General features: G+C 39.4%; 1 protein-coding gene across 6 annotated transcripts in view; it reads left to right on the top strand.

Moving 5' to 3' along the window:
• The window catches only part of CLCN5 (chloride voltage-gated channel 5), a 176,635-nt gene that overhangs the window by 3,377 nt on the left and 160,899 nt on the right, over positions 1 to 12,359 (top strand). The window lies entirely within an intron of this gene.

The raw sequence follows: 12,359 nt of genomic DNA on the forward strand, positions 1-12,359 counted from the left end.
CCACGGGTATGTGGGATTTTTATTGTTATCAAAAGTGAGTGTGGGTTTAAGAAATGATAGACAAACACTACCAAAATTGGCCTGTGACCCACAAAAAGTTAAAGACCACTTAAATGGAGTGGAATGAAATAGCTTGAATATCTAGAAATATTCAGCAGGTTGGTTAGTTGGTGGTCTAATGTATCTTTTAAAAATGTTTCATTGTGTTGGTTGTGACTTTATGTAGGCACACAAATGTAACAAGTAGTTTCCATGTATAAAGATTATCAATGAGAAGACATTTATGGAAACGGGATTTGGCCTGTATGCTTCCTTTGACTCACACAATGGGCATTTATCAAGAGCAGTTTGGATATTCTTGCTTAAATCCTGAGACATTATTTCATTCAACAAACGAAATACAGAGATGAATAAGTTGCAGGATGCTAGAAGATTCCTTGTCATCTAAAGACAGACATACAAACAAATAATTTTGCCATGTTGAATAAGTGTTAGAATAGAGAGGTACAAAAAGCAAGGGAAGCCCCGAGAAAAGCTTGATGAAGTCTGAGTTTTGAGCTGGTCTAAAAAAATGAGTAGGAGCAAATGAGAGAATTGCATTCTGGGCAGACAGAGCAGCACTGTTTGGGAAGTTCCAAGTTGCTCTGTTTGCCTCATGTGAGATGTGTAGGGGCGCGACCTCAGATGAAGCAGGGAAGGTAGTTGGAGGCCAGATAATAAAGAGCCTTGTATGTTCTAGGAAGGATTTTACACTTTATCCTGAAGACAAAGATTCTAAACAGGGAAGTAACATAATCAGATTTTGTTTTAGAAAGATTACTTTGGCAGCAGTGCTGAGCTGGAAATGATGAAAACTGGGAGTCAGTCAGGAGGTTTCTGGAATAGTTTAGGGGAGAGATGGTAAGGGTCTGAGCAGAAGCAGGGGCAGTAAGGTTAGAATGGGATTCTAGAATGTTCTGTGACTGGATGTGGCAAGAAATGGGCCTGGATTAACTACCAGCTTGGGTGCCTGGGGGCCACTGGTGCCATTCTCTGAGATGGGGAGCATGGGAGGCAGCTGATGGGCATGGGGGTGGTGCACTGGATTTGGATGACCTGTTTGGGTTGAGACACCTATGTACTGTCAGGTCAATGTTTCAAAGACAGTTTTGAAAGTACAGAACTGATATTGGCACAGATGGGGATCTAAAGTTTTGTTCCTAATGATGCATAAAGAGCTTGTATTTTTTTCTCTGTAGTTAATGGAAATGTCATTACTAGTTAATGATTTATTTTACAATAAAAACATTTTAATGTTTAACAACTCTTAATCAAAATGTCATATTTTCATAGTAAATAATGTATTTTGCAAGCCCAGGCCCTGAAATCAGATGTGCTTAAAATTACATTGAAGTGAAACCTCATTTTTCCAGCATTAGTGAAGAGGGGAGTATTCTATATAAGTAAGCTCTTTGGATAACTGCAGCTTATCCTTTGTTTTGGCTAACCTCTGAAGTAACCAGCAAAGTACGATGATAGTTTGGAAGCAGTGTGGTATGATAGTTAAATGTGTGGGTCTGAGTTCTACTCCATTGGTTCTGTCACTTGGTAGCTACGAGGCCTTGGGCAAGTAACTTAATCTCTCTGTGTGGAAGTTTTCTCCTTTACAAAATGGAGATAGTAATATAACTCATCCCATTGCTGAGTATATAGCCAAAAGAAAGGAAATCAGTATTGAAGAGAGAGCTGCACTCCCATGTATATTGCAGCACTACTCACAATAGCCAAGATAGGAAATCAACTTAAGTGTCCATCACTGGATGAATGGATAAAAAACATGTGTTACATATATTCAACAAAATATTATTCAGCCATAAAAAGAATGAAATCCTGTCATTTGCAGCAACATGGATGGAACTGGAAGTCATTATGTTAAGTAAAATAAGCCAGGCACAGAAAGATAAATACTGCATATTCTCACTCATATGTGGGAGTTAAAAAATGTGGATCTCATGAAGGTAGAAAGTCGAATGGTGGTTTCCAGAGGCTGGGAAGGGAAGGAGTTTGGGGAATGAAGAGAAGTGGGTTAATGGTTATAAACATACAGCTAGAGAGAAGGAAAAAGTTTTAGTATTCAATAGTACAGTAGGGAGACTACAGTTAACAATAATTATATATTTCAAAATGGCTTGAAGTAAAAAATTGGAATGTTTCTAACACAAAGAAAAGATAAATGTTAGAGGTGATGAATATCCCAGTTACCCTGATTTGATCATTACACATTGTATACGTGTATCAAAATATCACATATACCCCCCAAATATGTACAGCTATTATATATCAATTTTTGAAAAGGGAGAAAAGTAGAACACCTGATAGGCTTGGTGTGAAGAGAAATTAAGCTAATATATGCAGAGCACTTGGAACATAGTAAATGCCATATAAGTGTATGCCATTATTATAATAGTAAAACATTTAGAATATTGTGTAGCATATAATAAGTGCTCAGTAAAATTTAGCAATAGCCGTTATTACTACTATCACTATTATTTTCTTATAACCTGGGGTGGGACTGGGACCTTGTTCTGTGGAGGTAATTTTAGGTTGTCCTTGGAAGCCCTGTCCTGTGGTTGTCTGTTTGGGTCTTTAAGTAGAAGTTTAGACTTGAAAAGATTCTTAGAAAACATCTAGCAGCCGGGCGCGGTGGCTCACGCCTGTAATCCCAGCACTTTGTGAGGCCGAGGCGGGCGGATCACGAGGTCAGGAGATCGAGACCATCCTGGCTAACACGGTGAAACCCCGCCTCTACTAAATATACAAAAAGTTAGTCGGGCATGGTGGCGGGTGCCTGTAGTCCCAGCTACTCGGGAGGCTGAGGCAGGAGAATGGCGTGAACCCAGGAGGCGGAGCTTGCAGTGAGCCGAGATCGTGCCACTGCCCTCCAGCCTGGGCGACAGAGCCAGACTCCATCTCAAAAAACAACAACAAACATCTAGCTCAATTCCTAGAGGTTAAGTGATATGCCCAACGTCAAACAGGTAGTAGTTGATCCTAGAGCTAGTATTAAAATCCAGGTCACCTAATTCCCTATTCCAGTATTCTTTCCGTGGGCTCATGGAAGAGGCAATGTGTGAGTCTGTTCTCAGCTCAAGGAAGCTTCTGAGTCAGTCTGTAGAGCTTGTTGAGGAACCCTAAGGGCTACAGGAGCCCAAATCTCCTTAGGTTCTTGGCTCATTGCTGTCTGGTTCCTCCATGGAGAATTTGATCTGAATTCCCATACCTCTTAAATGGGGCCAACATTATTTTGACTTCACTTAATGGAGCCCTCTAATATATTTTCTGGCCACTTTAAACAGTGTACTGAGCATAATTTAATATTTTTGATAACTCAGGGTTATCATTAATAACCTCCAGCCAGTTTGAGGTTGGAGACTTGTGTTGTCAGGTGTTGTTTATTTATTCCATTAACATTTATTGAACACTACTTGTGCAGCAGGCACTCTGCTGGGCCCTAGAGACGCAATGGTCAGTGGAAACAAGTATGGTCTCTACTGTAATGGAACTTAAGAACCAGGATAAAGGTAGCACTTCAAATTAATGAAATGATTTATTTAACACATATGCTGAAGTAATTTGGAAAAAATGACAGCATAAATTTAGAAGGGTTAATATAATGTTTCTTAATAAAGGAGGGGACATCAGAATTACCTGTAGTGCTTTAAAAAATATTCCTACTCAGGTCCCCATTCCCCCAAATTGTGATTCAGTCTTAAGACCTGAGCATTACAATCCTGTTTTGGAACTGCTGCAATAAATATAGGTTTTTTGTTTTTTTTTTTTTTGGAGAAGGCGATGATAAAGGAACTCAAAAAATATGGAAGACTATATATATAATCTTGGGGATAGGGAAGATATTTGTGTGCATAATATCAAAGGTAGAATAATAAGGAAAAAGATTAATATAATCAGTTATATGAAAATTTAAAATTTCTGCACAAACCATAAATAAAGTTAATGAGAAAACTAGAAACAATTGCAGCAAGATTTATTATCTGTAACACAAAGACTTAACAGGGGGATAAGAAAAAAACAAGTATTTTACTAGAAAAATGTACAAAGGACGAGGGAAAATGTGCAAAGGAAAATACATCAAAGAAGAAATGCAAATGGCCAGTAAACATGTATCTCAGTAGCAGTCAAATAAAGGGGAATTAGAATGGCATACCATTTTCTCCAGTATAATTTGCAAAGATTAAAAAGGAATGACAGAACTCACTGTTGGCAAGGACTCAAGGAAGCAGATGTTCTCATACACTTGTGGTGGGAATGTCAGTTTGGCAATATTTATTAAAAGCTTTAAAAAATATGTTTACCTTCTGACCCAGCAATTCATTTTCTTGGAATTTATCCTAAGGAAGTAATTAAGGGTATGCACAAAGATGTATCAATAAGGATATTAATTGCAGCATTTTCTATAATGGGAAAAATTGAAAACACTTGCATTTTGATGCATCCATACAATGGAATATGGTAATTACCAAAAATGATAATGTAGAGTTCTATTTAGTAACACAGAAATAGGTTCATAACATAATGTTAAACCCAGGGGTCAGGGAGTGGGGGAGCAGGGAAAAGCAGATTCCGAACTGTTGATACAGTCATCCCTCCATGTGCTCGGGGGATTTGAAGACCCCAAGTATACTAAAATCCTAGCATACTCAGGTCCTGCAGTTGGCCTTACAGAACCTGCATATAGGAAAATTTGGCCTTCCATATTCATGGGTGTCATATTCTGAGATTACCGTATTTTCCATCTGTGCATTTGGTTGAAAAACATCTGCGTGTAAGTGAACCTGTGCAGTTCAAACCCGTATTGTTCAAGGGTCAACTGTCATTAAAAGTATGGACTCTGGGCTTAAATCTGAATTCAAATCCCAGCTACACCTTTATCAGCTGTGTGCTGTTGGGTATATTACTTGTCTTAGTGTTCCTTGATTTCCCCATCAGTAAAATAGGGATAAAATAGTAGCTAACCTAATAGTTCCTAGCTAGTGTGCCCAAAGATCACCTGGTGATCTTTCCAAACTTCCCAAGCCTAGGCCTCACTCAGCCAATTAAATCTGAATCTCTGGGGACGGGACAGAGAACAGTATTTTTGAAGTTCCCCAGGTGATTCTAATGTGCAAACAAGTTTGAGAAAGCCGAGCAGTTGTTGAGGTGATTGTTGAAGGGATTAAATGAGAAAATCACAGTGCCTGTCATGTGGTAAGTACTCAATACATGGTAACTATTATTATTATTGTTGCTATTTAAAAATTATTAATAGTATGATCCCATTTTAATTTATGTGTTTGTGTCCATGTATGGATAGTATAAAAAAAAGTCTGAGAGGATATATGCAAAAGTATTTTAAAAAAGAAATTATAGTTGACTTTATTTTTGCTTACATGTATCTTTCCACTTTTCTGTAAATATCATGGATTGTTAATTTTAAAAAGTATAATTTCTGAAGGAAATATCAGATATATGTACCCAGCTTTATATGCTAAGGTATTTATAGTGAAAAAACTGAAGACATAGTTTTCATACTAGGGGAATGTAAGTATATTATGATAGTTCCAAACAGTATAATATCTGGCCATTAAAAATAAAGACTAGCTGGGTGTGGTGGCTTACACCTGTAATCCCAGGACCTTCGGAGGCCAAGGCAGGAGGATTGCTTGAGTTCAGGAGTTCAAGACTAGCGTGGGCAACATAGATTCCATCTCTACTAAAAGAAAACTTTTTTTTTTTTTTTGAGACAGAGTTTTGCTAACTAGCCAGGCATGGTGGTGCACACCTGTCGTCCCAGCTACTCGGGTGGCTGACATGGGATCACTGGACCCCAGGAGACTGAGGCTGTAGTGAGCTATGATCTCGCCACTGCACCCCAGCCTGGGCAACAGATTGAGACCCTGTCTCAAAAAAAAAAAAAAGACTGATGCTGTGGGGACTCCCTCTGTCACCCAGCCTGGAGTGCAGTGGTAGGATCTTGGCTCACTGTAACCTCAAACTCCCAGGCTCAAGCAGTCCTCCCACCTCAGCCTCCTGAGTAGCCGGGTCTACAGGCACGCACCACTATACTTGGCTAATTTTTGTAGTGTTTGTAGAGACAGGGTTTTGCCTTGTTGCCCAGGCTGGTCTCGAACTCCTAAGCTCAAGTGATCCACCTGCCTTGGCCTCCCAAAGTGCAGGGATTACAGGCATGAGCCATCATGCCTGGACCCATCTCTCTCTTTTTAACTCAAGTGTGGGTTTATGTATCTCTCTGTGTTTACATGTTACATATACACCTATGAAGTGAAGATAAGTACAGAAAGAAAGGAAATGATCCAAAGTTGTTGCACTGGCTGTCTCCAGATGATGGGATACAGTTACTTTTATCTTCCTTTTTTTATACTTTTATTTACTTTCAATTTTTATGCAATAATGTGTATAACTTTTATAACAGAAAACAAGTGATTTGAAAATGAGATATAAGAGTCAGTAGACTCTCAACAAGTACCTGGCAGCAAGGAGCGCAGCATGTGTGGCCCCCTGGACAACTGCTTAGCCACTCTGTGTCCCCTTCTACGTTCCAGCAAAAGAGCAAAAGAGAAGAAACCAGGCCCCTGAGGGTTTGGTTAGAACAGGTTTTTTGCTATTAATACTTCCTCAAGTACTCTTGTAATTTTTGGCTGTCTCTCCCATTGACTACAAAAAACTCTTGGAAGATGTGCAAAAGATGGCAAATTACACTGTATCTAATGTAGAGGTTGCAGAATAAGGTGAGGTGGCAAAATATACGTCAGGCTAAGTGTGAAAATAAGGCAGAGGAAAATCAGAATAAAATAGTTGCAATGAGAAACTGTTCTTCAAATTGAAAGGAAGTATATGTTTTGACTGTGCAGATTTTTTTTTGGCACATTGCAGTGTATTTGTAAACACTCTGGTGATTTAGCCAACACATGGGAGGTGGGGAGCAAGAGGGAGCCTCACAAAGCAGTGGGTGAATTGACGAGAAAGCTTTAGTGTGAAATCTGGGTAGCCATGTGGCTTGCTAATTGGACCACTATCACCTAAGAGAAGCCATCTGGTCCTGCTTGTTGACCGAAACAAAAGTAGGTAACTCTTGAAAGAAAGTCAGGTTGTTAGAGCAGGAATAAAGAAGCAGGCAGCCTCCACCCCCAGCCCCTTTTCCTCTATCTGGCACAGTGCCTCACCTACAGCAGGTACTCAAGAAGCGAATTCTTTGTCAATTAAAATAATAAAGAAATAAATTTAAAAAATTTAAAAAGAAATGAGTTCCTTGTCTCTCTTCACCTTTTGCCTTTCCATAACTCTTCAGTGGGGAGAAATTGGTGGGGAATGGATTCTGATGGAAGTCATTGAATAGAGGGTAAACGAAAACAACCTTTCAAAAAATTATTCTCTAAGAGTCAGTTATTCTTTCCCAAGCACACAGTTGTGGAGGGAGCACAGGTCTTGGAGTGCGATAACCTGAATCTGAACCCAGGTCTGCCATTTGGTAGCCAAGGTTATTTAAACTCCAGAAGCCTCAATTGTCACATCCGGGGTCAAGTGTCATGTCTGGAGACAGACTCCCTGGATTTGTATCCTGGCTCTGTCACTACTAGCCATGTGACTTTGGGCAGGTTATTTAATCTCTTTGTGCCTTACCTTCTTCATCTGTAAAATGGGGTTAATACTAATACCTACTCAGGATTATTGGGAGGATGTAGTGTAGTGAGTGAATACAAATGCAGCAAAGCACTTGCACATGCTGGCCTTTATAATATGTGAAAGGTTATGATAATATTTACTGCACGTGCTTCTAGATGAGAGTCAGTCATCAGAATGCCTGGTCCATTATAGCTGTTCTGATTGGATTATAAGTTTTGGCATGAAAAATAAAATTAGGTATATTATTAAAGAGATTTTTAAACTGGAAGGGGTCTTCAGAGGTGATCTGTTTCAGATGTATAATCTTGCAAAGGAAGAAACTGAGGCCCAGTGAGACTTATTTTAGGCCACACAGCTGTCACATCGTACCCAAAGCCAGGACTAGACCCTGGGGCTCCTGATAATCAGTGCTGCCCAGCCCGCTCTTTCTCTGTCAATCTGTCTACCTATTTGGTCCTACTGCATTGCACTGCCTTCCCCAGGCTTGGGTATCTTACAGTTTTCTGTTGAATCTTAGTCTTTTCCTACTATGCTTTACTGCTACCGTGAAACGTTTAGTTTTTTTTCTCCCCTCAAAAATAGGTTTTCCATTGAGGCTTCCAGGATGTTTTTTTTCCCCTTCTTCTCACTATGTTAGCTTATGAAATAAACTATAAATTCTTATTATTTAACCAGAATTATGATTCAGCTTCCTGTTTCATGTAATGCTGTTCTGTGTGTCAAGGGTTGGGGGAGGCAGGACTAGAAAGTTTCATTATTGGTGGCTACGAATGCCAGATTCTCCTTCTTCTTTTCCTTCCTACCTTCTCTTAACTACCCAGTATTTATAGACCCATGGTCAGGCCAAAGAAGCTGTTGAGGAGTTAATAGTATGAAGTGTCTCCCTTAGTAATGTCATATTTTGATGATTTTCAACCCAATACCATTCTGGCATTAGGTGGCAATTTATTATATTTATTTAGGATTTCTGCCCTGACTACATCCAGGAGGAACATAGAACAACACAGAAATTAAAACATAGAGCAATTAGAAATAAATGCAGGACAGGGACCATCCAGTGGAAATGAAATCGATATTACTAGGCATGTGAGATACTAGACACTGAAGTTTTCTCTTTCTTTTCTTCTGTGTCCCTCCTTCCCAAAGACAAGCACGATAAGTTACATCGTTGACATCTTCTGGCCAAAAAACGTGTTCAGATGCAAAAGAAAACCCTGGCTCTGTCTATGCTAAATCTTCTGGCCCTTCCACTGCCCTCCCTTTGGTCTGGCCTTACCTGTGGCCACCTGTGACTCAGCACTGAATATTCCCAGGTTGAAATCATGATCTTTCCTGTTTAGCTTTGAGAATGGTGAGAGACAGGTAGGCAAGAGAGTTCCTGCCATCCAAATTCTCAACTCTGTCAAGCTATTCTTTTCCTTGGGTCCTGTACCCCAGTAATACACAATAATAACAGAGTTTCCTTATCTTACATTCCTCTGTATTGAATAATTGTACCACCATGGACCCAGATGTCAAAGCCCAAATTCTAAGAGACACCATGCATTTCTTGCTCCCCCTTACCTGCAGTCCACCCCTGCTGGCCTAGATCATTTCAGTTGGTAACATTCCTAGCAACTACCTGCTTATCTTTCAGCCATGAGCTTTTCCTGAAGCCTCCCCGATCCTCTGGTAAAATTGGCTTCTGGCTCTATTGTATGGTCCTTGAGGGCATTGACTGCACTTGTTCAATATTTTTGTTCTCACATCTGCTGTGTGCCAGGCAGGCACTGTGTTGGGTGGATGCTGGGGTTAAAGCAGTGAATACAAAAGTCATGATCCCTGCCCTCTTAAGCCTTGCAGTCTCATGGGGGAGTTGGAGTGCAAATAAATACACAGATATTTTCTTATAAAGTGTTGTGAGTACTAGAAAAGTCAAGTCCTATGAAAAAGAATAGTAGAGACTGAATTTATAGAGAGAAGAAGGGAATGGGAGGAAGTGACAAGTTCATCTGAGACCTGAAAGATGAGGAGGAGTTATCCACGCAAAGAGTTGGGGGAACAGCATCCCAGGCAGAGGAGACAAGGTGGAAATCCCTGAGGTGGGAAGAATCCCTGGGTCCTTTCCCAGCATGGTCCATTGCAGCAGGACCATAGTGAATGAGGCATAAAGGGACACATGATAAAATTGGAAAGGTGGGCAGGGGACAGGCCACACAGGGTTTTATAGGCCATGTTACCAAGTACCCTAACTTGGTAACATGAAGGCCTTGGAGATAGATTGGATATGGCAGAGTGACCAGTGAATGAATGGGGAGTGTCTCATTCATCTTCTCATACCAAATACCTGGCAGAGAGTGCCCAGCACATAGTATGTGCTCATTGAATCTTTCTTTAATGAGTAATAACTGCCTTGCCTTCCTATCAGGATTGCCATGGAGATTAAATGAGATAAAGTATGCTAAGGTGCTTTGCAAAATAATTCACTAGATTCTATGTAGTGATGCTTATAGGTCTTCACTGTCACTAGGAACCACATCCCCCCAACCCCATTCTCTGTTAAACTAGCAAAATCTTTCAATTAGTTCATCCCATGCCATGAACATGCTGATGTACTGTGTTCTTACATATTCAATGTGTCTCTTTGATCAATGCCTTTAACTAATTATGGGTGAGTGGAAACTCCCTTATATCACACCATTTTGTGGCACTCCTGGTGTTAGAGATAATTATGGGTAGTGGTGCCAGGAGCAGTATAGCTTTCTCTTCTATGCTAAATCTACTTCTAAATCTCTCAACCTATAATAATTCATTATTTAGGAGCTGGGTTAATACTGAGGAATAGCATTCTTTGAATTTGCGTTTGGATGGGGCAAGGCTAATCATATCAGGATGTGGTTGGTACCAATTATGGCACTTGGTTTTCTAGACTGTTAAAAGACATAACAAAATGATCAGTGTTTTGCTATTTTTATGTTAAATATCTGTTCCCTATTTAAACTGCAAGAACTTCAGATGATTGACTGAAAAGTCCAGCTCCGTGCACTGTTGGTAGGCATATAAGTTGGTAGAATCCATTAGAGCGCACTTTGAAAGACTTTTTCAAAATGTAACTTGTACAACTTTTGTCCCAATGAATCTTCTCAAAAGGAACTGCATGAAGGTCACTTGTTACAAGGATCTTGGTTGCCTTCTAGTTGCCATCTTTTTACTATCAACAGTCTTATTAATGTACAGCATGAGAGACCAGTCATGTTAATTATGATATTTACATACTATGGAATGCTGTTCATTTCATTTAAAAGAGTAAAGTAGCCTGGACGTGGTGGTTCACGCCTGTAATCCCAGCAATTTAGGAGGCTTAGGTGGAAAGATCACTTGGGATCAGGAGTTTGAGGCTGCAGTGATTGTGCCACTGCACTCCAGCCTGGGTGATAGAGTAAGACAGTAAAGTAGATGTACATATAGTGACAGGGAATGGTGTCCAAGATAAATTTTTAAGTGAAAAAAGGGGTGCAGAATGGTATATATTATAGGATCCCACTTGTTCAACACAAAGAAGGGAGGTATTATTTAAGAATTCGTGTATATGTGTTCTTGCATATGCTTAGAAAATTTCTAGGATGACGCACAAGAAACAGTTGTCAGTTACCTTGGAGATTAGAGGTGGCAAGGCTAGGGATTTTAGTTTTCACTTGACACCTTTCTGTACACTGCTCGACTTGTTTACAACAACCTGTAAAACCTTTAAATACTAAAATTTAAATAAAAACTTTACCTCACTAGATTATTTCCTCGACAATTTATACTAAGAAATAAAAGGAATATTAGTGGTTGAGGTGAGAGATCAGGTCTGAAGCAAAGGAGGCTGACTCTGATAAAACCAAGGGCCTCTAAAAGCTACCTCTGTGGCCAGAGGACTTAGGAGAGATGTTGCTTTGTTAAAGCGTAATGCTAAGAAAACAAGTAAGATTAAATTGGGTAAAAATTACTTTATTAGTTTTTTGATGAAACAGTTGTAATCATATCATTAGTTTTGATCTCTGGGTATATTAATAACTAAACAGCATAGTAATTGTATTCCAGACTACAATTTAAAAATTAAATGTTTCAATGTGTAGAATAATAGCTGTTTTTCTTGTTTGATTTGTTTAAATGTTGCAAGTGAATGCTAAGCTACAATTTCTTGAGCTTTTTACTTAAGGACCTGAGGAAAAATGCAAGTATAATCTTATGCTTGAAGTAGAGAAGATATAAATTACCTAATATTTACCTGATAATGTTTGGATTAAGTTAAATCTTCAAATTCTTAAGGCCCCTTCTAGCTCAGTCTCCCCCAAAAAGAGGGTTTTTGTCTGAGATACAAGAAGTCAAAGGGTTGTCTGTCAGAATGTCCTCTTGGTTTGGCATAATGAAGAGAGTTCCTTCACCCAGTTGTGGATGTTCAGAGACAAGAGTCACTATCCTGTGTTAAGTGACCCTGCTTCTCTAATATTTGGGGTTTTAGCCAGGAGATAGGTGGTAGAACACAAGACAGGTTTTACTTTAAGATATTGATTATTGTGAAAATGGCCATACTGCCCAAGGTAATTTATAGATTCAATGCCATCCCCATCAAGCTACCAATGACTTTCTTCACAGAATTGGAAAAAACTACTTTAAAGTTCATATGGAACCAAAAAAGAGCCCACATTGCCAAG

Source organism: Homo sapiens, chromosome X, assembly GCF_000001405.40.
Source record: "Homo sapiens chromosome X, GRCh38.p14 Primary Assembly".
NCBI lineage: Eukaryota > Metazoa > Chordata > Mammalia > Primates > Hominidae > Homo > Homo sapiens.